Source organism: Homo sapiens, chromosome 11 (genome assembly GCF_000001405.40).
Source record: "Homo sapiens chromosome 11, GRCh38.p14 Primary Assembly".
Lineage (NCBI taxonomy): Eukaryota > Metazoa > Chordata > Mammalia > Primates > Hominidae > Homo > Homo sapiens.
In genome coordinates, this window is record NC_000011.10 from 20,034,353 (window position 1) to 20,060,000 (window position 25,648).

Genomic DNA, 25,648 nt, shown 5'->3' on the forward strand with positions numbered 1-25,648 from the left:
TTTTTTTTTGTTTTTTTTTTTTTTTTTGTTTGTTTGTTTGTTTTTGAGACAGAGTCTTACTCTGTTGCCCAGGCTGGAGTGCAGTGGTGTGATCTCAGCTCACTGCAACCTCTGCCTCCCGGGTTCAAGCAATCATCCTGCCTCAGCTTCCCAAGTAGCTGGGATTATAGGCATGTGCCACCACCCCCGGCTAATTTTTGTGTACTTTTAGTAGAGATGGGGTTTCACCATGTTGGCCAGGCTGGTCTCGAACTCCTGACCTCAGGTGATCCACCCGCCTTGGCTTCCCAAAGTGCTGGGATTACAGGCATGAGCCACTGTGCCCAGCCCTCGATTAGCAAGTATTTATTGAGCACTTGCTACATATCTGCTACACCACAGCAAACAAATGAGTAAATGCAACAGGGTGACGTGACAGAGTGTGACAGGCTTGATGGCTGGTGGGGTGGTTTTCCTGAGAAGGTAACTCTTCAGCTGAGATCTGAAAGATGAGAGGAGGCAGGGGCAAGTGTTCAGAAAGAGGGACAAGCAACAGAAAGCCTCAAAGAGAGCAATCTTGGCTTAGAAGGAACAGAAGTGCATGTGATCAGAGCCACTCGCAATGGAGAGGGGTGCAAAACAGGACTGGGGTAGGAGGCAAGCTCAGAGGGTCTTGAGGGGCCATATAGAGAGTTTGGACTCTTAATTACCTGAGAAACAACTCAAGGGTATTAAGCAGTAAAGTGACAGGATATTCTGACTGCTGCGGGCGGATGGACCATTAGGGAGCAGAAGCAGACCACAGAGACCAGCTGGCCTTTTAGCAGTAATCCAGGCAGCATTGACCGCACCATGAACTGCAGGGTGGCAGTGGGGGCAGAGAACTGCACATTTGGATATGTTTTGGAAGCAAGGTGATAGGACTGGGTGCTGGATTAAACGTGGTGGTGGTATTGGCAGGTGGGGAGATGGTACAAAAGAAAAAAGAAAGAAAGAACCATTGCTAGGAGACTGGACTTAGGCAGCTTGGGACTGACCTCATTCGGTTGGAGGGTTGGGAAATGAAGAACATCTATTTTAGATGTATTTGGGGATATTATTAGAGTTAGAGCTGCTAACCAAGTTGACAGGTTTCTCCTAACTGTTGCCGCTCTCCCTCGCTCGGCGTTTCATTCCAGGAGTGAAGTCTGCAGAAGTCATACAGCAGCTCTGCCCTCTGACCCGACAGGTGCCTGCTGCGGAGTCCTTCCCTGCATGCTTTTAGCTCTAGTCCCCAGACTCACTGCCCCTACTCTGCCACTAGGCCTGGGAAGGAACAAATTGGTTTCCATAAAATTCTCAGGATGAAGTTGAGAATGGGGTAGGACATGGGTAGTGTCTGTAGCCACCCCTGCTATGGAAGCACTTAGTTTGGGGAAGGTATCTGTCAGCCTCTTCACCCAGCTTCCAATCCCAGACAGCAATGATTGATGTGGAGATGAGTCACATCTGAGTCAAGAGAGCTTTGTCCGGGGCTTCATGGCACAGATTGGATCTTTTCGGGGATGGTGTTTGTCTGTCTGTGTCATCAGCCTGAGCTGGAACAGCCTGAGGTTTTGGTGCTCAGGATGTGTGTTTGTCTTGGCAGCTGGGACGACAGCAGCTCCGTCAGCAGCGGCATCAGCGACACCATAGACAACCTCAGCACTGATGACATCAACACCAGCTCCTCCATCAGCTCTTATGCCAACACACCTGCCTCCTCTCGAAAAAACCTGGATGTGCAGGTGAGGAACACAGGCCCTCCCAGGCTCCTCCAGCAGCCTCTGGCAGCAGGGAACCTTGGGCTTGTGGGGTAAGAGGGCCATTTGGGGCAACCAGAATCTCCAGGTTGATGAGATGAGGCCCAGCCTCCTGCCGCCTCTGCTCTCACCTCCTGACCCTGACCTGTGTCCACAAGGGAGGGGTCAGGCAGCGGATGGTGGACACGGGAGTAGGGAGGCTTCACCACCCTCACTGTGTGGACTTGATGAAATCACTCTTCCTCCCTGGACCTCGGTTTCATAATTTGTTTAAAAACAAACAACAGAAAAGGATGTGGGACTTTAGCAATTTTCAGCCCAGAGTGTGTGTCTCTTATTTGCCGCAGCAAGCCACTGCTATCCAGGGGCACGTGTCTAATCCCTGTAGGAGGATGGGGTGGAAATAAAGATTGAGAACCCTGGACCGGAAGGCCGGGATGTCCTGACCTGTGGTTGAGAACTCTGTCTCTGGGTTACATTCCCCTGCTGACGTGTTTTATTTGGCCCACAGTGTTACCCTTCTTTTAAACTAGATTCCCTGTCAAATTTTTAGAATTATATTATTTCACATGAAAATGTCTTCCTGGTTGCTCTTGAGAAAAACAAAGATATTGCTTCCTTGAGCCTACATTCTCCATGTGGTGACAATCAACAGATGTCCCAGTATCCAACCCCTTAGACCTGCCACTCCTGCTCCAGTGTGCACAGCTGCTACCCTGCTGGCCAGCTGTACTCCTTAAATTACCTGCCTGACCCCAAGGCACTGGAGTTTTCCATTCCTACTTTAAGGCTTCAGATTTCATGTTTCAAATGTGGTGTAGTTTCATGTGGACACGTTCACTGACCCTCAGACCATTCCTTCATGATTGGCAAGGGATGGTTCTGAAAGGCCCATTTTACTAGTGGAAACGTAAAGTGCTGTCCTCACAGCTTGTCCCCAGTTTGGGACTGACCAGCACCAGAACTGGCCAGCTGTGGTGGCATTGGCGTCGTAGGCTGGAATCTTTTTCATGATTGATCCCTCCCATTTGCAGGCGCCACCCCTCCCCACCCCCCATCTTTGGCGAACCCTTGGAGAAATCTGTTTGGGACAAAGTCTCTCAGAGCAACCTTGCGGGGAGGCAGAACTAGCACTGCCCCGTCTTTCACTCCCTTCCATAACCTCTTCCTTTCTCAGCAGTGCTTTACTTCATACAGATAGGAGCTGATTTGGAAATCTATTTTCTTTTAAAGGTATCTCTTCTTTGACAATAGGGCTAAAAAAAAAAAAAAGGATGTATCAGAGTGTGGGAGTAATTCTGTCCCACAGAAATGGAAACGTTTAATGCCTGATGAAATACATTAGGTGTTGCCCCTGGGATTCCCAGTTACTTCTTGTATTCTTCATTTGAGCCAGACTTTCTGATTATTGTTCAGAAACCCAACCTAGTGACAGTGGGTGGTGGTAGTTGTTTTAAGAAACAAAAACTACCCATATGACTAGAAAGGGGGCCATGGGTAATGCTCTGTATGTTAATCTGAGCAGTGGCTATGTAAGTATGTTAATTTTCTAAAATGTATTCAAGCTATGTACTTAAGATTTGTGTACTTTACTGTACAAAAACCAAACAAACAAAACCTAAGCCACACTTCACAAGCCGATCACTGTTTCATCAGTGATTAGACGCAAGTCAGAAGTGCCCAGCCAGGCTATGCTCCTGCCACCAATTTTCCTTTCCTTGTGAACACTAATTTTTTTTTCCTGAGGCTCATTGTATATTCAAGATAAGAACAACCAGACTGTCCTTAGATACTAAGGAAGGAACCAAGGAATTGCTCACCCTGCATCTACATATTCAGGAGGCAGGCTATTAGAGGTACTGCAGAGAGAGAGAGAGAGAGATCCATGAGGTTTCCATTTTTGACTTACAAGGTAGGAGAAGCTTGCTCCTGAGATGCAGGTGGAGCCAGTAAAACACTGTACTGGAAGAATGTCCTTGCCTTTGTTCCCTTCTTGCAAAGCTGGAATTGAAATCTCTGGTTCCACATTGATAAACAACTCGGATTTGTACATGATTTTCTAGCTGATACAGTCGCCCCAGCTCTTTAGACCAGCTCTTTGCTTTCATCTTGTAAATGTCACATCAGAAAAGGCTGCAGGATTCTGCACAAACATGCCTTTTGATCAAGATCAGAAGTTATTTTAAGGGATGTAAATGGTTTACTACTCATTGGGTAGGTTTTTTTTCCTATAAAACTACCTGAGTTTAAAATGTTGAAATGAAAACTAAAAAAAAAGTAGGTCTTAAAGTAAACTAAATGCAGATTACACCAATAGTTACTAAGATTTCTAACGCAATGGTTTCTTTAAATGGATTTTTAGTGACATTCCTTTTGTTCCTGTCCAGGGAGCATCTCAAAATATTTGAATCAGCATAATTCACAGGCTCCCATCCTCCTCCCTCATATCACGCTGAGGAATGCTAAGGGCCATTACTCCTGTCTGAGCGGCATCAGGCAATGGGAAGATGTGCGTTGTACCCTTCCCAAGAGCTGCGCCTTCTATGCTGTGGCTCATTTGGGTTCCTGTCACATACTGGTTTACCCTGGAACAGGTGGGCAGCACACAGTCTGCCAGGCAAGGCGTGGGGAGGCAGGGAGAAGTGGCTCAGCATGTCCATCAGGAAAGCAAATTGAGGACAGGTTGCCTGCCTAGGTTTTTGCTGTTTGAAAAGCCTCTGAGAAATAACTAAAGCATCTCAGGAACAGGGAAGTTATTGTCTGGAAAACCTAAGAAACAGCCTCGTATAGCTGATTGAAAGAAGAGGAGACGGATCATTGGGAATGGAGATTCCTTTTGTCTGTGAGGGACTCCGCTATCACTGGGGACATTGAGGAGCAACGGAGAATGCCCCCCACAGAGCACAGGTGCCCAGCTGTCCAGCATCAGCTCCTGTGCCCACTGTTTCCTCAGGGCCAGGCAGAGAATCCCCTGCTTGAGGCCCAAGAGCCTCTTGAGCAACTCCTCCAGGAGAGCTGGTGAGTCCGGTTGGCCAAGCAAATTGAGGTGTCAGGGAGTAGGTGTGGACCTGGAAGCCACATGATCTTGAGTTGTGCTCCTCACTCTATGACATCCTTGGATGAACTAAGCACTCTCTCCGAGCCCCTGCCTCCTCATCCATAACATGGCACTAATTAGATGCACCTTCAAGGGTGAGTGTGAAAGTAACAGGGAAATGCTTTATCAGCACATGCTTCCCTAGGTGCCTGAGACTGGATGGTTCCTCAGAAGTTACTTTCTTTCCTTCTTCCTTCCCTCCATTTCTCTTATCTCTCCCTCCCTTCCTCCCTCCTCTCCTTCCCTTCGTCCCTTCCCAGCCCCTGCCACCTGGGTTAACTGTTCCTCTGCCTCCAGCCTCCATTCATGGCAGTTAACTAAAGGTTGACTACGTTCTTAATATATTTTGTTTGTAGTCTCAAAGCAACTCATCTTACTTTGCAGTATTTTATTTTGAGGACAGATGTTGGTGGCAAAGGGCTTTAACAAACACACGCAACTCCCTCACATATTCATCTGTACATTCAGTATTTTCTCTCAGTTCTGTGGAAGGCACCATCCCAGGTGCTGAGGAGCAAAGATGCACACATCAAGATTTCCTCTCATTTTCAATGCCTGTGAAATGTTTAATAACATATGCGGAGGAAAAAGATAATTCCATGTCAGTTTATTTTTTGCTACTCAGGGAAATAAAATTCTGAATTATGTGGCAAGGATTCCTGTCTTGTGTGGCCTTGAGTGACCCTAGAGCTCTCTAGATGTTGGCATGGATGTAGGGATGGGGTTTGGCTGGGGGTGAGGAGGGGTGCCCCCTTCTGCTCACCCGCTGGGTAAGTTACTTTTCCTCTTCAGCCCTGTATTTTCCTGATGTGTAAAATGTGGATAATAACACAGCCTGAGAGGATAAGATGAGTTCAGGATGTATGTGGAGGGACACAGTGCCTGGCAGGATGACTGGCAGGCGATGATGTTGATGCAGATAATTATCTCCATGGTCACTGGGGCTTAAACTTGAGCCAGCTCAGCATCTAGATCCGCAAGGGATATGGCACAGGGAGGGAATATCCCTGCCTTCCAAAGGCCTGTGGCCCAGTGGCAGAAGAGACAAGTACCTGTTCTCCCATAATGCAAGACAAAGGCAGGATAAATGCTAAAGATGGACAACAGAGTGCTGGGGATTTTCAGAGGCAGGAAAGTTGGTAATGAATAGAACCACTGTTTATTGAGTCCCCCCACACTGAGTTCACTGAGTTCACCATCAATGCTGTAAGAGACCTATTTATCATCCATGTTTTATACATGAGTTAATAAGTTCAGATAAGTAGGGCAATGTCTTCCAAGGTCATGCACAGCAAATGAGTGGCAGCACCGAACACTTGAACCCAGATCTGTCAGACCCAAAGCCCACACTCTTCCCCCACATCATGCTCCTCAGGCCTCACCTCTTGCTCTCAGAAGACTGGCCTCCCTTCTGAAGTCCCTTGTGCGTGGCTTCTTTCCTCACCTTCCCATGTGGATATCGAATGACTACATAGACTTCCAAGAACAGGCAGAAGAAAACCCTTCAGAAAGGAGGTACCATTGAGATGGAAACAACTGGCCGAGGCATGGAGGGGAAGGCAGGATAGAACTCTTCGTACGTCCCCATGTGGATGTCCTGTTGGCTGGTTCCGCTGTTGCGAGCTCCAGGAACAGAGAGGCTGGGACTTTCTCGTTTTTTAATCCCAAGGGGTGCCACCTTATAGTCCGGCATGTAGCTCATGAAGGATTCAGAGTAGAGCTGGGAAGGTGACCACCCTGGACCAAGCTAGGGAGATGTGATGGCTGGATGATTGTTCTTTCCAGAGAGAGAAAGTCAAGCCACATTCCCAGGCCAGGGGCATGTGCGCTGTCTCTGCCACTGATGGAAATGGAGTTGTATGGGTCCCACCTAGAGGCTAAGCTAGAGCTGCTCTAGAACTGGGGTTGGGGAGCCTGCCAGTATGGAAGGAGAATCTGCTGGGTATAGCTATTAGGTGCTACTGAGTATGCACAAATGTATCATATACCTCGACTTATCCTTAGGGAGGGCAGTGTGGCATGGTGGTTAAAATGTGGGCTCTGCAGTTAGACTCCCTGAATTCCCTGCATCTCTACTTCCTCACTATGTGATCTTGGGAAATTTTCTTTTCACTGTTTGCCTCAGTTTTGTCATGTAAAATTGAGACTATTAACTGTAATTTCCTCATAGGTTTTTGATAAGGATTAAATTTAATGATACATATCAAACACTTTAGCTTAGTGCCTGGGACGTAGTAAGTACTCAATAAATTGTAGTTGTTATGCTACTAGTATTAGCACCATTACAGTTTGATTGGGGGGAAATAAGTATAGGAACATTAAAAGAATAAATAATGCAGTAACCCAGGATGTGGCATGTGCTAAATTTTCAGTACCTCTTAGAGCATATTAGAATATGTTAAAATGTACTTGAATGTAAGCTCCATGAGGTTAATGATTTATACTTGTTCATTGCAGTATTCCTAGTGCGAATAAGCTTTCCTGGCACGTAGTGGCACCCAATAAATATTTGTGAAGTGAATGTTCCAAAGCCAAGTTATTTTCTGCCTCAGGACCTTTATACATGTGGTTCCCTCTCCCTGGTATGCTCTGCCCCAAACTCTTCTTTTACTAAGTAAGTTTCTTTTCTTTCTTTAGGGTACTTCTTTTTGAACTGATCACTGTCGCCTACCCACCTCATTGTCATCTAAATTAGGTCAATGTCTATATTTATTTCTCAGACTTTTTGTCTTTTTCCTTATAATAGTCTTCGTAGTCTACAATTACACCCTTGTTTGTGTTTATTTATTCTATCTCTGCCTGTTTCACTGGATCGTAAGCTCCACCATGGGTGGGAAATCAGTCTTATCCCCAGATTCTCTGACCCTCCGTGGTGCCTGGCAGACAGCAAGCATGGAGTAAATTCTGGTTGGATGAATGTACTGGAAGTGTTTAGAGGAAGGAAACTGACCTGAGGTAGTTGGGACAAAGAATGGGCAACTTTAGTTTCTGTAAGATTGAGATAAAGATAACAGTACTTGAGTACTTGTGTACTTACCCTTTCTGATTAAATAGAGGCTGAGATCGGATAAGATAATTTTGCTAATGTCTGTTGTGGCCTGAAAAGCGTGTGTTCCTTGGCTCCTTCCTAGGCTCATTCATTCGCTCATCAAGCTTTGAGTGAGCTCCTGCCCTGTGCCCACATGTAGGAACTCCCCTCTCTCTGTCCCTTGCCACAGCTGAATGATGAGCTTCTCATAGCCAGGCAGTGTGTGTTTGTCCTCCTCATATCTCTAGTGACTAATACTTAGCTGGAAAAAAACAAATGAAAGAACTCATAAGGTGTCTGTAATGGATGAGTGGAATTCATAAGGGGAGAAGGGGTTGGGGTGGTGTTGGGGAGGCGATTGAACTTGGGCTGCCTATCTGTTTTTAGCTTTTATCCCATTCAGCCATTGTATTCCATGGAGGAAGGCATTTCTTCCACTCTTGGATGACAGGCGTTAGGCAGATTCTTGCCAGGTGTTCATTTTAATTTCCTATCTTGCCTACTCTCGGTAGTTAAGCATTGCAAATATGGGACTGGTATCTTAGTATACCCACCCTGAAAGCGCTCCTGACCTCCCTTCCCCATTTACCGTGCTGCTTCTCGCTACTGACATCCTCCAACTGGCCTCAAACCCCAGGAGGCCTCCAAAGCATTCTGGTCAGCTTTATGCCTTTTAGCTGCAGGAGATCATTAACGTCACACTTCGGTCCCCTTCTGGGTTTTATGGCCAGCAGGTCAGGGCTCTTCCAAAGAAAGCTGGCTAATTATATCCCTTGTCAGAACAAAATCCCACAAGGGGAGCAAAGCAGTGGCATATAAATAATGCTGGGGTCGGAGCAGGCATCATTGGCTCTCCGCATTTGGGGGAAGTAGCATTTGAGGATGCGCTTCCCCTCAGCTCCTGGCTCTCCCTGATTTGCGTAGAACCAGCAGCCACCCTTGCTCCCTTGCTTGGTGTGTTAGATCCAAAGATCTCTCTGCGGTGCAGTGATGGGAAGAAGGCAGAACAAAGGGAAACGGGCCAGGAGACTGGATGCTGGTTAGAGATCAGCCGCCAGAGTTGGAGGAGGCTTGTTCAAGTGGCAGAAAATAGGTGGTGGCTGAATTCCCACTGCATCTCCATCTGCTCTGCCCCTTCCCCTCGCTAGGGCTCTTTCCTTCTTTTTTCCTGGGCCCCTTTTCCTCTCTTCCCTCACTCCTTTCTTTTGCTTTTCTTTTCTTCTTTTTTGAGACAGTCTCGCCCTGTCATCCAGGCTAGAGTACAGTGGTGCGGTCACGGCTTACTGCAGCCTCCACCTCCCCGGGGTGATCCTCCCACCTCAACCACCCGAGTGGGTAGAACTATAGGCGTGTGCCACCACACTCAGCTAATTTTTCTATTTTTTGTAGAGATGGGGTTTTGCCATGATGCCCAGGCTGGTCTTAAACTTGTGGGATCAAGTGATCCTCCCGCCTCAGCCTCCTAAAATATTAGGATTATAGGCGTGAGCCACTGTGCCCAGCCATCTCGTTCCATTCCATTCCAGGGATACATTGATATTATTTACTTTTTTATTTTTTTTTCCAAAAAAAAAAAATCAGTCTTTCTAACAAGATAACCAGAGTACAAAAGTCCAAACATCTTTAAAGTAATGCTTATTTTTCCCTTAACTACTCCAGTGTTTTGGCATTTTTGCCTTTGGAGTGAGGGGCTTCCCAGCCTGGGACTGGGGAAGGACTAATTCAGAGAGTCTCTGTCCACAGACTGATGCTGAGAAGCACTCACAGGTGGAGAGGAATTCCCTGTGGTCTGGTGATGATGTCAAGAAATCAGACGGAGGCTCAGACAGCGGCATAAAAATGGAGCCAGGTTCCAAGTGGAGGCGGAATCCTTCTGATGTGTCTGACGAGTCCGACAAAAGCACGTCGGGCAAGAAGAATCCTGTCATCTCCCAGACAGGCTCATGGCGGCGAGGCATGACAGCTCAGGTGGGCATCACCATGCCAAGGACGAAGCCTTCAGCCCCGGCAGGCGCACTGAAGACCCCAGGAACTGGTAAGAGGCCGGGGCTGTCTTGGCCCTACAGTTGACATTTTGAAAACCAAAGCCATAGTTAACTCTAGCAAGGACTTGACATTATATATTTTGTCTCAGGATTTATACTCTGCTAACAACGAGCTTCCATAAACTTTCACATCCCTACCTTTTTCTAAGTGGAAATAAGTAAGCATGGGAGCCTCTTAAGCTCTGAAGATGGTTCGGCTGCTGAGACATACTGAATTGGTTTAACTAGACACTGGGTGAGTTAATGCAGCCAGTTCAGGCTATTCAACAGCATGGGTTTATGAGCTGTGGGTGTATGGTGAGTTGATGTTGTCCCTGACTTAGGGAATATTTATAAACAAGGGCAGAGGTATCCCCTGGACATGTTAGGGACAGCGCTTTAATGGACAGAGGGTGAAAGATCAGGAAAGGCAGGGGGTTCTTTCCCCCCAGACATATCAGTGATTGGCTGGCTTTGCTTTATCCTGGGTAAATTTAGACTGCTTTGCAAATGAGTAAAATTATTGACATTTCCTAAAAGGCTCACGGTACATTAGTAGACTATATTATTTTTATAAAAAGCTCTTTCCTCTGCCTCCCCAAGGGAAAAGTGAACCAGCTCTTCAGAGGAGGAGAGCATCTTAAACAGACGAGATGGATGAGCTGGCTCTTGGCTTGCAGGCTAATCTTGCTGATCTCTCTCTTAGGAAAAACAGACGACGCAAAGGTGTCTGAGAAAGGAAGGCTTTCTCCTAAAGCCTCCCAGGTGAAGCGCTCCCCATCAGATGCAGGCCGGAGCAGTGGTGACGAATCCAAAAAGCCCCTCCCCAGCAGCTCTAGGACACCTACTGCCAATGCCAACAGCTTTGGGTTCAAGAAGCAGAGTGGTTCCGCCGCCGGCCTGGCCATGATCACAGCCAGCGGGGTGACTGTCACCAGCAGGTCAGCCACACTGGGCAAAATCCCAAAGTCATCTGCACTCGTCAGTCGGTCTGCTGGTCGGAAGTCAAGTATGGATGGGGCTCAGAATCAGGATGACGGGTATCTAGCCCTAAGCTCCCGGACAAACCTTCAGTACCGGAGTTTGCCGAGGCCCAGTAAGTCCAACAGCCGGAACGGGGCTGGGAACAGGTCTAGCACCAGCAGCATAGATTCCAACATTAGCAGCAAGTCCGCAGGCCTGCCAGTGCCCAAACTGAGGGAGCCTTCCAAAACAGCCCTAGGCAGCTCTCTACCAGGTCTGGTCAACCAAACAGACAAGGAGAAAGGCATCTCATCAGACAACGAGAGTGTGGCTTCCTGTAACTCGGTGAAAGTGAATCCGGCAGCCCAGCCTGTGTCCAGTCCGGCTCAGACCAGTCTCCAGCCTGGAGCCAAGTACCCAGATGTGGCCTCTCCCACACTCCGCAGGTAAGTGAGTACATAAATGGTGCAGAGCAGAACCAGAATACAGGGAATGGATTTAGTAATTTCCTGTTTCTTAGTTGAAGCACCCTCTGTTTTTCTCCACTTTAGTCCTCCAGTAAAGCTGTTTTGTCAGATCAGGCCGGCAGTTTTGCAGTTGACTATTTTCCCATGTTGGGATGAAAAACTTAGGCCTCTGGAATCAATCATCTTAGAATCAAATCTTAGGTCCATTTTAATTAGCTGCCATATAACCTTTTTTAACAATTCTGCCTTAGTTTCCTCACCTGTAAAATGGGGATGAAGATACTTTTTTGTCAGGGTTTTTGTAAAGATACATCTTTGTAGCTGTGTCTGGTCGTAGTATGCACTCAATAGAAGTTAGCTACTGCTGGGCACCGTGGCTCACGCCTGTAATCCCAGCACTTTGGGAGGCCAAGGCGGGCAGATCACGAGGTCAGGAGTTCGAGACCAGCCTGGCCAATATGGTGAAACCCCGTCTCTACTAAAAATACAAAAAAATTAGCCTGGCATGGTGGTATGCACCTGTAGTCCCAGCTACTCAGGAAGCTGAGGCAGAAGAATCACTTGAACCCAGGAGGCGGAGGTTGCAGTGAGCCAAGATCACACCACTGCACTCCAGCCTGGGCAACAGAGCGAGACTCCATCTCAAAAAAAAAAAAAAAAGAAGTTAGCTACCATCCAATCCAGAATGAGGTCTTGATACACCCTTGGACCTAGGTGGGTAGCTCAGGGGAGCAGATACATTTTTTTCTTGTGTTAATAATTCTTCAGCTGAGCTTCCTCATTATGGCAGGCAGTGATCTTGACCAGCTCCTTCCTTTACTCAAAAAGCCCAGTGTCCCCACATATACTTTTACGCTACTCCGGAATTCCAAGTCAGTCTGAAATTTTAACTTCCCCCTCCCCATCACACACACACACACACACACACACACAAACCTCTTAAAGAAGAAATATTTCTGAAAAAGAGAAGTTGATTTCCTGTTACCTTAAATAGACATCATTTCCCCACATTTTCACACTGGGTGGAAGCTCTAGATATAAACAAATTATTCACTTGTTTAAAGTTTCTTTTAAATTTATTCAGCTTTTGCCTGTTCGTATTATCTTATTATAATATCCACTGGACCATTCTCAAACTGCAACTGCTAGGTTACAGTTCATCCTACTTTCCCAGGAAATTTCTTATCATAAGAAAGAATAAGTCCCAAGAAAAGAAAATCAAGCAGTGAGAAAATAAAAATTATATGCACATGTACATATCTGGGGATGAACAGGAATGTTTGAAAAGACTTCAGAAGAAGCATTCCACATGAAAGGTATAATGAAGCAGTTCACTGTTCTTTGTCCAGACTTGATTATTAGAATTTCAGTAACGATTTTTTTTTCCAGGGGTAAGTCTGTTGTGCTGCTCTTTGTTGTTTTAACAGATTGCCTTGTAAATGAAAATGTTCTCTGTTTCTTGCCTCAAGTATTATATGTAATATTCACTCTTTGGTATTATAGATTTCCTTTACTAACTACAAAGGCATTTTACTAGACCCTTAGGCTAGTGTAATGGAATGCTTGAAAATGCATGCAGCTCCTACGGCTCTACATTGAACACCTTTTAGCCAATTCCTGGTAAATTACATTTCTTCCTAAATCGTTAAGGTATTCTTAGTTCTCTTGATGTGTATTAGTATGGTGAAGAAAAATCTTTGGTGAATTTGATAGATAACTCTCTTCAAATGATTTCAAGGACTAACAGACCAAAGATTAGACTTTTGTATGTAGTCATGCATAGCAGAATGAGGAGCAATATGCAAAAGTCAGAAAAAAAAGTGGATGAGATTTGGGTTTCCTAATAATTGGAAGTGCTTGGCAATGGAACAAGTTACCCTTTGAAGTAACGAGGTCCCTGTCATCACTGGAAGTATGTAAGCATTCTAAAGCCAAGATTCTACATTAGGATATTTCATTCCCTGTTGTCACCAGGCACAAAGTGTTTCCTTTCTGCCACCACCCACTGTAGTAAGGATTGATTGATTGATTGTCTTTACAATACTTGAGATTTATAGGACTGTCTAGAGAGGGCAGAGATCAAACTGTCACGACTTTGAGCACCCAAGGCCACCTGCATGTCAGAAATACATAGTAGTTTTGTCACTTGTGAGATACTTACTCAACACAGGTTTCAGTGAGTGTAATAGAGCCTTTGCATTACTAGAATGTGGACAATTCTCTGACTTAAAGATAATTTCAACATTCTACCAGAGAGTTCTCTGCCAGTGGAAGAGGGGGCATTTATGTCATTCCTTGTAGTCTGATGGCACATTTTTGGCCACGAGCAGGGGAGATGACATAGAATAGCATTTCTGTGTGTCTGTCACAGAGACACAGTTCCCACCCAGTGTGTCTGGTCTAATGTCTTGTGAACCAAGCAAGATTTCCATGTATGTCACTGGATAAGTAAGCTCTCTGGCTTCAAAAGATACATCTTTCCAGTTGCGTTTTCTATTGTGGATAAATCTCTGAAGACATTTTTCCTAGGCCCCCTCCAGATCTAAATTCATGCTCTTGATTCTATGTATTGTGCTCAGAGGTCAAGAAACCAAATCCCTTAGAGTTGAGCTGTCATAAACTGTGTGCCTGCTTTATGCCTGGGGCCGCAGAGACAGAGATGATGAAGACAACCATCTTCCTGGGCCAGGGCAGTTTTCTAGTTAGTCTATCTATTGAAAGAAAGGGAAGCAAGATCTTGGCCCAGTGTCATGTGAATAGGCCTGTAGAAAATTATTACTCATGGCTCTTTGGCTCAGATGGAGTCAGAGTCTCAGCTGCAGCTTAGAATTTGAAGACGGCAGCCTGTGATGCACTAGTGTCTAGGCCCACTTTATGGCTGACCTTTCCCTGAAGTACCGTTAGCCATTTCAGTAGGAATGGCTGTGCTTCCTTCCCCAGGAATTCTCACCAACTCCTCTGCCCTACCCTTCTTTAACAGTCCGGTGCCCCTTGGCACTGGGTGTTCAACCTACACAACCCTTTGTCTCTTCACAGACTCTTTGGTGGGAAGCCTACCAAGCAAGTGCCCATCGCCACAGCTGAAAACATGAAAAATTCGGTGGTCATCTCCAATCCTCATGCCACCATGACTCAGCAAGGTAACCTAGACTCCCCGTCAGGCAGTGGCGTCCTGAGCAGTGGGAGCAGCAGTCCTCTCTACAGCAAGAATGTGGACCTCAACCAGTCTCCGCTAGCCTCCAGCCCCAGCTCAGCCCACTCGGCCCCTTCCAACAGCCTCACCTGGGGCACCAACGCCAGCAGCTCCTCCGCAGTTAGCAAGGATGGCCTGGGCTTTCAGTCTGTCAGCAGCCTCCACACCAGCTGTGAGTCCATCGACATCTCCCTCAGCAGTGGAGGGGTCCCCAGCCACAATTCTTCCACTGGCCTCATCGCCTCCTCCAAGGACGACTCCTTGACTCCCTTTGTCAGAACTAACAGTGTGAAGACCACACTGTCAGAAAGGTTGGTGCTGTGCCTCTGGCTGCCTTTCTCAGAAAGACACCCTTCCAAAAATAAAAAGATTAGCTTAGGAATCCCAAATGTCGAATAGCCTTTGCCTGTAAGATTTCTCTCTTTCTAATTACTGCTGTCTTTCATGGGGAAGCCACTTCAGGATGGAATCAAGCTTGGCTCTGCTCCCTGTTATCTTTTCCTCTGTGGTTATTTTTGGTGCTTGGAGCTGCTCAGTCTCTCGGGGGCAGATTTATGCTACCATTTGAAATGGCATTCAGCTTTTGAAATCCTTCAGTTTTATCCTGTTTGTTCATCAACAGCTTCTTTTCCCTCCCCTTGTAATTGTGCAAGCAGAGCAGGTGACTGGGTGCAGACATGGAGTGTTTAGTAGGATGCTCTTTAGACAGCTGGGTAGGTTTGTTGTCATTGTGGCAAACACCCTCCTCCTGGACTGATAGGAAATCAAGAAATTAAAAGTGTTCTCAGAGCCCTGGATTTCTCTGCAGCAGGGATAAATGTGTCCAGTTTCTGCATATAGGGAAGAAAGCGAGGATCAGCATGGGGAATGAAAAAAATGTATATAACAACACCTCTCCTTTCTTCCAAGCTAACGTTCCTTCTCTTGTTTTCTACCTGCCTGGACTTCTAGCCCTCTCTCTTCCCCTGCTGCTAGCCCTAAGTTCTGCAGAAGTACTCTGCCCAGGAAACAGGACAGGTAATGACATTGCAGGCCGGGGACCAACCGAGCCTCTAGGTTCTTCTGCCCATTCGTTGTCAAGCCAGATGTCTTGTGCGAGGCTGTTGGCCTAAGCCACCTGCTTGTGTTTGTGGCTCTAGTGTACTCTGTGACACATGGACATGCCAGTGAGAGTCTGTTCCTCTGTCTGCTAAAGCCCAGGGAGAGGTGGAGTTGGGCTGGCCTCTTCATTCCCATTTTGGGAAGGCGACCTTAAACCCTGCCACTTGATCTGGGGCAGCGGAAGCTCTCGCTTGCATCTCTTGTGGCCTCCTGTGGCATGTTCCTGCTTTTCAGCTTCCTTCCCATTCCTTTTGCCACCCCCAACCCCAAGCCCAGAAATGACCTGCCACCCACTGTGTAGCTTGGCCCTCACCTTTGTCTACCCCTCCCCATGCAGCTGCCTCTTCTCCCTTTCAAAATCCTTTGCTGAAGTTTGGCTCATTATGTCTTGCAGACTGTTGTGTTCTGTGTGCCCATTTCCTGCGATGATAATGAAAAAGAATGTGTAGAGTATTAAGACTTTACAAATGTACACGCTTGTGTTTGCCCCCAGCTGTAGGTGGGCCTCAGAGATGGATACTGTCCTTAATTTTGTGGGGGAGTGATGACCTGGCCAAACATAACAAACAGATGTTGTCTCCTGCCAGAAAAAAAAAAAAAAAAAAACCTTCACCCCATCAACAGTGAAAACTTTGTTTTTGTCAGCTCACAAACCAAGCCTTTAAACCGTTGGTCTTTAGAAATCCAAGTGCTTTGACTTCATCAGCCAGCAAGTTGTAACATGCCCCACCCAGGACTCAGCTCCTAGCTATGCCTGGGCCGCAGAAATTGAGAGGGACCTGGAATTCACTTCGTTACAGATGAATTCCAAATATGCAGACTGCTGGCCTCTTGAAACCTCCAACAAGTCTGTTCTCCCATTTGAAGTCATTGCCAGTGGCATTTAGGGGGTGGGCCAGAGTTAGGGGTGCAGGGAAGTGGGCATCCCTCTCTCTGAGAAGCCGTGTTGGTGCAGAGAGTGCCCCTGGGCAGTAGAAGGCACAGGACCTCTGCTTTGAGGTGGAGCAACCCCTGAATTTTGCTTTGAATCTGTGGAAAACGAGGAACAATTGGGGTTAAGGGACTCAGGCCTCCTGGTGACCTGGGGTAAAGTATGCGCTGGTGTCAGCTCAGGCTGAGGATTGGGTTTCTTTTGTTTTCCACGGATGTGGATGTGTTGCATTGCACGCCTAGCTGGATAAGGCACTTCCTGGTGATGTGCACCTCTTTCTCCAGGGCCCTTCAGTCCCCTCCCTAGCTTTCCCTCTCTCTGCCTTCTGTGTGCTGCTCTGAAGTTCTTATTTTTGTTTTAACTTTCCTACAGTGACCCGCACCTTGATAGGAACACTTTGCCTAAGAAAGGACTCAGGTATCTGTGTTTCCTCCTTGCATCTGTGCCATCTGTTGTGGCTTTGGAGCTTGGCTGTGTGACTCCTTCATGGCTGGTGGGGGTTTGGGCTGGGCTGGGGTCCCCGCTTTGACCACCACAGCAGGACCTTTTGGATGACGGCTCCCCTTGCACCCTCTCGTTCTCACTCTCCATTTGTCAGCTTATTTGCTTGAGCAGGGGCTGTGCTTTTTCAGGCTTAATGTGGTAAAACCATCTCATGAAAAACATCCCTGGGCAAGCCCAAGGAGCAGTCATTACTGCTTCTGGGGCCAATGGGTTTAATTTCTGAGCACTTCACCATGACCATTCTGTTAACATGGCTGTCTTCCAAGAGAAAGGACATGACTTATAGCATACTGATTTGTAAGCTAGGACAAGAGCACAGGAGGCAAGGAATATTTTCCCCCAATTTGAAAATATTTAACTTTTCTGCCCATAAAAAATTGCTAGACAGATACTTTGCCCTTGTCTAAATATTCTAATGGAAAATTGGTCCACTTTCATTGCCCAACAAGACATGGGTGTGATCATTTTTTGGTGGATAATAAAGAAAAGACTCCCAGGAAGGACTGTCCTTCCATTCCTGGTAAGTGGTGGCTCAGGTTCGTTTTTGGTGCTAGTCCTGGCAAAACAAGATGCTATAAGTCACCATTGCTCACACCATCTATATCACTTTGCCAATCAGAGAAAATTCAGTTTGCTAATGCCTCCCCTGTGATCTTGCTGTCTTATGGTTGCAGCCGTCATTTCTTCTGCTTTCTAAACACCACATGCCCTGTAGCATCAGCTTCACCCTGCACTAAGCATTAAGTGCTTTCGCATAAAATGGGACTTGGAATGAAATGTTTCATTGCTGTCATGTATGTCTATAGTTAATAACCTGCAGCTCTTAAGACTGAGAGCATTTTGAACAGTAATGTGAGGTAGGTATCAATGCTTCCTTTCAATGGGATCCTCTGAGTAAAGCCAGTTCTAAGAATCTAAGAAGGAAAGTATTAAAATCTCCCAACAGTCATCCTGCAGGAAGTTGTTGAGCAGTGTGGCCTTAGAGGGGGCCTTGGCAAGGCCTTTTGTACTTACCAGTTTCAATCGTGCCTATGAGCTGCTTGTCAGCAACCATGCCAGATGCTTAAATCATGGCCACTCTCACTGTGAGTTTGACTTTGATGCCCCACTGGTGCCCTGAGAGAAAGCTAACTTCTAAATGTTAACATTGTGAAATGGTGTGTATACTTCTGTAGCAGATCTAGCCTATCAAAATTATGTAGCTCTGGTTTTTTAAAAATTCAGAATAGAGATACATGACAGGCTATTTTCAGGCAATTGATGTGTCCTGGAAAGTTGCATGTCTGTCAGATATAGTAAAAACATTAAGGAGAAAACATTTCTGTGCTCCCTCTCACTCTGATTCTTCCTGTGTAGCTCACCCACTCCATACACATGAACATCCAGTACGAACACACTGACAACATCTTTCCTTAAGCCCAAAGAATCCCCCTATTGACATAATCAGTAGTCACTCCATAATATATAAGTCCGAGGATACCCTGGCCACTTGGCACTCAGAAATTTCAGATGCAGGCCAGGTGCGGTGGCTCATGCCTGTAATCCTAGCACTTTGGGAGGCTGAGGTAGGTGGATCACTTGAGGGCGGGAGTTCAAGACCAGCCTGGCCAACATGGTAAAACCCTGTCTCTACTAAAAATACAAAAAATTAGCTGGGCATGGTGGCACATGCCTATAGTCCCAGCTACTCGGGAGGCTGAGGTGGGAGAATCACTTGAACCCAAGAGACAGTGGTTGCAGTGAGCCGAGATCATGCCACCTTTCTCCGGCCTGGGCAGTAGAGCAAGACTACGTCTCGAAAAAAAAAAAAAAAAAAAAAAAAAGGAAAGAAATTTCACACGCTACTTATGGGCATAATGAAAAGAACATGCATTTTAAAATCAAACATGGATTGAAATCTCAACTCTGTGACTACCAGCAGGGTTCTTACCTTCCCTGAATGTAAAATAGGAATAATGGCATCTGCATTGCTGAGTAGGTCTGAGGCTTTGGTAAGATAATGCACATGAAGGCACCTAGCACATTGCAGATGTTCAATAAATCATCACCATATACATTTCAGAATAAATGAGGTGGTGGACCACATAACTTCTGAAGACCCTCTCCTATAAAACTCAACAATTTGGGGTTGCTTTTATGAAGATTTGTTTGTGCTCTATTACAGCAACTACTATAAGCATCAGTGTCCTCAAACCTTGCTTTGTATGTCTGCTTTTTCATATGCTGTGATTCATGGTCATTTATTTGTGTTGTAGAATGGCAGATGCCATGAGTTGTCTAATTAAAACTCCCTCAAAGCTCTAACAGCAGCTCATTTTGTTGCTTCAGTCCTGTCAAGGTGGGGGCTTTGACGTGACACTGTCATGAAGCAACATGTTACAGATACGCCCAGTGACGGCTCTTCTGAGCATTTACCAATCTTCTTCCCTTTATGTGTTCCCTCCAAACTGAAAGGGAGTAGTCATTTTCCCCAAACACAGCCAAATAGAAAAAAGGTTTTGAGAAACTTCATAAGTTTCAGGACGTGTAGTGATCTGATTTTAAAAAAAATCATCTTCGGATATATGTTTTCTTTTTATATATTTACCATCAGCTCCACAGAGTTCATTTTAATAAGCATTGTTCATAGTTAATTCCGGCTTGATTTCTGTCTGTCCAGGTATACTCCCACCTCCCAGCTTCGCACGCAAGAAGATGCAAAAGAATGGTTACGGTCCCATTCTGCAGGAGGCCTTCAGGACACCGCTGCCAATTCCCCCTTTTCCTCTGGCTCCAGCGTGACTTCTCCCTCCGGAACAAGATTCAACTTTTCCCAGCTTGGTGAGTAGCCACTTGTCATTACCTATGTTGATCAGCTCCACAGGGCAGTGGTTATCTTATATACATAACATATTTTTATTTCAATAGTTTTTGGGGAGCAGGTGGTTTTGGTTACATGGGTAAGTTCTTTAGTGGTGATTTCTGAGATTTTGGTGCACCCATCACTTGAGTTATCTTACATTTTGAAATAGACATATAGTCACATCCCGCTCAGTGTCTGATTAGCCCTCGGCAATATAGATCGATTACAGGGGATTGACAGAAAAATAAATAGAGAAAATAGTAAAGTTTTTGATACTGTAATCAATAATTTTCTTTATTTGGTTGATATTGGTAGGGCTATAGCAAAGAACATGTTATCCCATTCTTAAAAAGAATGCATTCTTTTTCTAAGACCTCTGAAGAAATAGATTTTATCGCATATCCCATGTTAGGTCATCCTCATTGCTTTATTAAGTTGGAAATAAAAGTTAAGTTTTGATTGAATAGGTATTCTTAACAATGCCTACTTCTGACATAATGCTTTGACTGGCACAGTGGGGAAAGGAAAAGAATTTGTGTCACAGTCCCTGCTGACATGTCAATGGAATTCTTTTTCAGGAAGACAAACACATCAATGCACACCTATATAATAGAGTAAAAGAGAACAATCCAGAGCTTTATATGAAATCATGTAAAAGCTGAATATAATTAGATAGCAAGCATTAGACACATTTAGAAAAAGGAAAGATTAGTGCTGGCTGAAGTTATAGGCAGAGGTTATGTGAAGGTGGCAGAGTAGGAGCTGAGCCTTGAAGGACTGATAGAGGGTGAGAAATCTTTTCTAATCTCATCTCACTCTTTAGAGAGGCAGGCTTTTCTGAATATAGTGAATAACAAATTCAGAGTCTTTAAGGATAGAGGTGGCTTGTAATCAAGTGAGGTTTAACACTTCATTTCTGATTGACTAAATGAGTACCTCTGAAAATATTGCACATGACTCAAATGGACAGGATTTTCATAAGAAAGCTAGTTTTAGCTGAGACAAATGTACCTTCCTTGCATTGAAACTCTTTATATACCATTATTAAATGTCCCCCATCTGAGGCAATGGGATCTGTGTTCATACTGTTCTTTCCCAGCCATAACTCTTTGAGGCAAGAGATTCTTGTCATGCACAAATGCTTCCCATCTGATCAAAAGCCTGATTGGACTATTTTGGGCTTTTGGCTTTAGAGAAAATCATTCCAGATGAGCCTGGGGAGTAATTAGCTCATGCCTGGAAGGTGATACTGGCCTGTCTGAACGTGCCAAGTTGGAAAGCTGAGGCCCAGAGCCTTGCTTTGGAGCTGACCTGCCTTTTTACTCTTATTTTTAGCTCCCGGTGTGTAACTCAAATGCTGATGGGACTACCTTTTAGAAAACAGATGGGAGAAGAGTTGGCAGAAACACATGTGGCTAAAAATAAGCAGTCTTCTCTTTGTCCCCAACCAGGATTTGAACAGAGACATGAATGTCTAACCTTTTGATTCTATTCCTTTTATTCCAGCGAGTCCCACCACTGTCACCCAGATGAGCTTGTCCAACCCGACCATGCTGAGGACTCACAGCCTCTCCAATGCTGATGGGCAGTATGATCCATACACTGACAGCCGCTTCCGGAATAGCTCCATGTCCCTGGATGAGAAGAGCAGAACCATGAGCCGTTCAGGCTCATTCCGGGATGGGTTTGAAGAAGGTAAGGAAGGAAAGGAAGAAGGTAAGGAAGGAAACTTCCATCTCCCAGGTTACTCAGTGTAGTTAAGGGTCCTCTATGCTAAGTTCACTTCCTTAACCTGAGAGCCCACCTATAAGTGCTCCCACCTCTCCCACCTACTCTGGGGGTCAGGGGTGGGGATCTCTGAAGAGTAAGGTCTGGCCTGACCCTTAATTAACCTTCCAGGCCTTTGAGGAAGAGGCTGCTTAAAAATCACTGGTGAACCATAGAGCTGACTGAGGTCCGCTTTAGGCTTCTCCCTCCTGGACTTGGGCCACAGCTTCTTGGCATGCGCCTCCACCTTGAGGCTCAGCCACCGGCTCACCATCTTGGCAGAGAGAACTACTGGAGAGTTCATTTCCCTGTGCTGACATGCCCCTGTAGCTCTGGGGGCCGGGCAGCCACGCCTTTCTGCTCTGCTCCAGAATTTTTCATCTCCTTTCTCAAGCACTGGGTTTTTAAGTGTATTGTTTTCAGTTATGCCCTTTTCTTTCTTTGGTTGCTAACTGAGAATATTTGGGGTTGGATTTTTATGTTTGGTTCATTTTAATCAGAATCATGGGAGAAAAGTTCTGTGGACAACTTTGTCAGCCGTCTTCACAGCTCACTTCATTTCTCTCTTCCTTTGTTCCATCACGCAAGGTATGAGTTAGGTGAGTAAGCAGTCAAAATTCTGTGGAGGATATCATCCCCACCCCATGAAGATGGGGCTGATGGGACATTGGCGGCAATGCTCATTAACCAATGATAAGAATAGGAGTCAGACTAGCAGAGTTTAAATTCCAGCTCCACTGCTTTTTAGGTATATGATTTTGATCAAGTTGCTTCACCTCTCTGTGCCTCTGTTTTTTCATGGATAAAATAGGAGTAATAATAGTATTCAGCTCATGGAATTATGAGAATTAAATGAGATAATACATATAAATGTTAACACAATAATGTTATTACATGTCATGGCCTGTAATAACACAGCCGTAAAGCTCTAATAACATAGCTGTAAAAACACAGCTTCAGCATTGACTTCCTGGCAGCTCAAAGTCCCCAGCCAGAGAGTGGGGAATCTTGGAGCAAACGGAGCCTAGTCTGAGGACTATACATCTGGTTGTCCCTTTGTTGCCATTGAAAAAGCAGAATGTGGAGGGTGAGTTATAGGTGCTTCCCGGTCCCCATATGAGTAGGGAAAAAGGGCCAGCATCCTCCCAGCATGAAAGAACAAACAAATTTGTGATTGTTTAGGAAGTTTCAAGTCAAAAGGGAGAGAAACACAAGGCACAGGATTCTGCTTTTGCCTAGTGTTCTTTTTAACAGAAGTTTTAAAGAATGTATTTACAGAGCAATTGCCCCCTGGTTTATTTTCTTGGTAACTTAATACTTTGCACCCTGATTTATGTATCATTTGCATACCATGACATTCAGTGAACAGGCACAAGTCTGTAAATCCATATATGGGAAGCTGCTGGGACCAAGGATTAAGGAGGGGAGAAGCCTGAGTCACTGAGGGGCATTTGTGAGATTTAAGAGCTAGAAATTAATGCTATAACTGCTCAGAACAGTGATAGTAGAGAATATATTGTGATCCTAAGGTGAAGGAAGTGGCAGTTTGTCTTGAACTTCTTTCTAGTCAGTGTACTGGCCAAGCATCGCCACAGAGCATTTCCCAACCTCCCCGGGAAGGATTTGCATATGGAGTTTGTCCCGCACTGTATTCCTCTTCTCTGCCATGTGTCTTCCTGAGTGAACCACGTCCAGTACTGAAACTTGTCCAAACAAGCACACTTCGCCTCATAAAGGTCCAGGACCATTACAGTATCGTCATCAGATAGCTTTTATTTATTCCATCTGGAATCAAGCTGGCAGACAGCACAACTGTGGAATATCTGGGATGTCAAAATGACATTGATAAAAAGTGCTTGCCCACAAGCAGTGTCTAGACTTTTGTAAACCTAATGATTCATGGTGACATGGAACTGAAGCACAGAGGTAAAAGTCAAACTTTAGGGGAATGGATAGGGACCGCTGTCAATACACTGTGAATACATAACATTATCATCTTTTGGAAAATATGGCATCAGATTGATTTTATTTCTTCTAAGGTTATTACATTCAAAAATAAAATAGAGTTTGTGTAATTAGGTTTTTAATTCCTTTCGTTGAAATTCCTTTTTTTGAATTTATTAACTCCCAGTATTGCAGGAGCAGTTGGAAGAAAATTGACATTTCATGTTTGGACCAAACAGAACCTCCTTGTAATAATCAGTTAGGTGTATTATACGCCATAAAGCAGAATAGAAATTTAGGAAGAAGTAGCACAAGTATTTGTGTGAGGTTTTTGTGCAATTTAATTAGCTCTTTCCACTTTGAAGGAGTTTTAGGAATTATAAATATGTAGATTAGGTACAGGCATGGCCAGATGCAGCCTTTCAAAGGTGTTTCAGGTAAATTACTTTCTATCAGATGCATTATGCGATCTTAAAGTCAACTTTAATAGCGTACATTTAAGGGGATGCTTGAAGCATTATTAAAATGGATTCTAGAGAAAAAAAAATCCCATGACTTCACCAATCATCACTAAGAGCTAATGCAGTGAAAAACACAGAAACCCTCCACCCTATCAATTTATATGGAATCCCCAGGAGCACAGAAGCTTATTAATCAAGAAAGCTTGTATTGCAGCATGCTTGTGTATCTAGGCCCTGAATTGCTGAAGTGGTTCAAATCCTGGCACCTCTACTGTTAGCAGTGTGATTCTGAGAAAGGACTTGACCTGCTCAGCCTGTTTCCTATTCACTGAAATGTGAAAAATAATTGTACCTGCTTTGGAAAATTGAAGTGAAGATTAGGTGAGATGAATCTTGGAAAGCATTTAACAAATAACTTTGAAAGGGGAGTATTGTAAGTGCTCACTCAATGGTAGCTATTGTTATAATTGTCATATTATAGCCTTCTCCCCAAGGGCCATTATCATCCTCATTTTTTTAATGGCCAAATTGAGGCAAAAGTGACTTGAAGACTTTATGCAGCCACAATGATGTCTTAAGCTTCTTGATTCCAGTCCCTCTTTCTTTTCACTCAATCCTACCTTGATATCTGACTCAGTTGGGTTTTTTTTTTTTAAACCTGTCTGAGGCAAGCTCTGATCTTTCATCAATGTCTTCTCTGTTTTGTGATGCTTCCTTTGCTGGTGGAGAGGCAGGGCAGTCCATTAGCCATCAGCACTGCATTTCATTCTTCTGACTCTTTCCACAGTACCCAATTGTGGAATGAGAAGTAGATCGTGATGCCTAGATCCACATTCTCTTTCTGCTCCTGACTAGCTGTGTGTCTGGCCACGTCACTTAACCATTCTGAGATGTAATGTACTCTGTTGTTGATTAACGGTGGAAACTCCTGCCTAGTCTGGGATTGTTACCTGCAGATTCTCTGTGATGAGGGTCAGAGGCACTTGATTGCTTTATTGGCTGGAATATGCCTAGTTGTTTCATTCTATCTAGTGTTTTCACTCCTACTAAAGCATCTTTCTTCTCAAACATTCCTAGGTTGTGCCCATGTGTTGACTGAATGAAGGGACTAGGACACCATTCTAAAAGACACCAAAAGGCTCTTTAAAAAAAAACAAACAAATGAAAAAAGAATCAGAAACCAGTACAACAGATTACTCAAAGGCAGAGCGATCTCCGGACTTCTAGTCAGCAGATCCTGTTCTTGAATTGCTGTGTGACCTTAAACAAGTCATTTCACCTCTCCGAGTTTCAGATTTCTCAATGGCAGAAGTGGCCTAGATATTCTCTATGGTTCCTTGTAGCTGAAAAAATGTGAGGTATAGCTATAGGGAGGAAAAATATGTAGCCTGCTTTAGCTGTTTAGCTTCTGTAACTCCCACAGGCATTTTGTTGTCCAAAAATAACCACATTGCACAACCTAGGCTCTGACCTGGCTCAATTCCCTTGAAGGAGGCCGAACTGCAATGGTTCAGGTAAAACACATTCAGTTTTGGGTTGACTCAGAAAATCAAGGATCTGTCTCTT

General features: G+C 45.0%; 1 protein-coding gene and 1 long non-coding RNA gene across 51 annotated transcripts in view, besides 3 other annotated features; one reads left to right on the plus strand and one right to left on the minus strand.

Moving 5' to 3' along the window:
• NAV2 (neuron navigator 2) overlaps nucleotides 1–25,648 on the plus strand; it is a 776,366-nt gene that overhangs the window by 689,117 nt on the left and 61,601 nt on the right. For 14 of the 50 annotated variants that reach the window (XM_017018520.3, XM_017018522.2, XM_024448758.2 and 11 more), the window contains 9 exons: nucleotides 1,607–1,745; nucleotides 9,629–9,920; nucleotides 10,616–11,318; nucleotides 14,376–14,843; nucleotides 15,484–15,549; nucleotides 16,937–16,981; nucleotides 19,728–19,888; nucleotides 21,417–21,605; nucleotides 22,178–22,276. In XM_017018520.3, the coding sequence (XP_016874009.1) occupies nucleotides 1,607–1,745; nucleotides 9,629–9,920; nucleotides 10,616–11,318; nucleotides 14,376–14,843; nucleotides 15,484–15,549; nucleotides 16,937–16,981; nucleotides 19,728–19,888; nucleotides 21,417–21,605; nucleotides 22,178–22,276 (2,162 nt within the window). The remainder of the gene's footprint in view (nucleotides 1–1,606; nucleotides 1,746–9,628; nucleotides 9,921–10,615; nucleotides 11,319–14,375; nucleotides 14,844–15,483; nucleotides 15,550–16,936; nucleotides 16,982–19,727; nucleotides 19,889–21,416; nucleotides 21,606–22,177; nucleotides 22,277–25,648) is intronic. The other 36 variants (XM_047427830.1, XM_047427831.1, XM_047427833.1 and 33 more) reach the window with 5 other exon arrangements.
• Nucleotides 9,423–14,951, minus strand: NAV2-AS2 (NAV2 antisense RNA 2). The gene is made up of 2 exons (NR_046672.1): nucleotides 14,622–14,951; nucleotides 9,423–9,945 (listed from the first exon to the last, which is right to left on the minus strand). It is a non-coding gene; the product is annotated as an NAV2 antisense RNA 2 (long non-coding RNA).
• Nucleotides 14,089–14,602: an enhancer, noted in NCBI's record as "H3K4me1 hESC enhancer chr11:20069987-20070500 (GRCh37/hg19 assembly coordinates)". NCBI's record gives its function as "activates a minimal SCP1, AML or CMV promoter by ChIP-STARR-seq in primed H9 embryonic stem cells {active_cell/tissue: H9 hESC(primed)}" and the evidence as "EXISTENCE:reporter gene assay evidence [ECO:0000049][PMID:30033119]".
• Nucleotides 14,089–15,320: a biological region, named in NCBI's record as "BRD4-independent group 4 enhancer GRCh37_chr11:20070019-20071218".
• Nucleotides 14,121–15,320: an enhancer, noted in NCBI's record as "BRD4-independent group 4 enhancer chr11:20070019-20071218 (GRCh37/hg19 assembly coordinates)". NCBI's record gives its function as "activates an origin of replication core promoter dependent on BRD2, P300/CBP, MED14 and CDK7 cofactors, and independent of BRD4, by STARR-seq in HCT116 cells {active_cell/tissue: HCT116}" and the evidence as "EXISTENCE:reporter gene assay evidence [ECO:0000049][PMID:35650434]".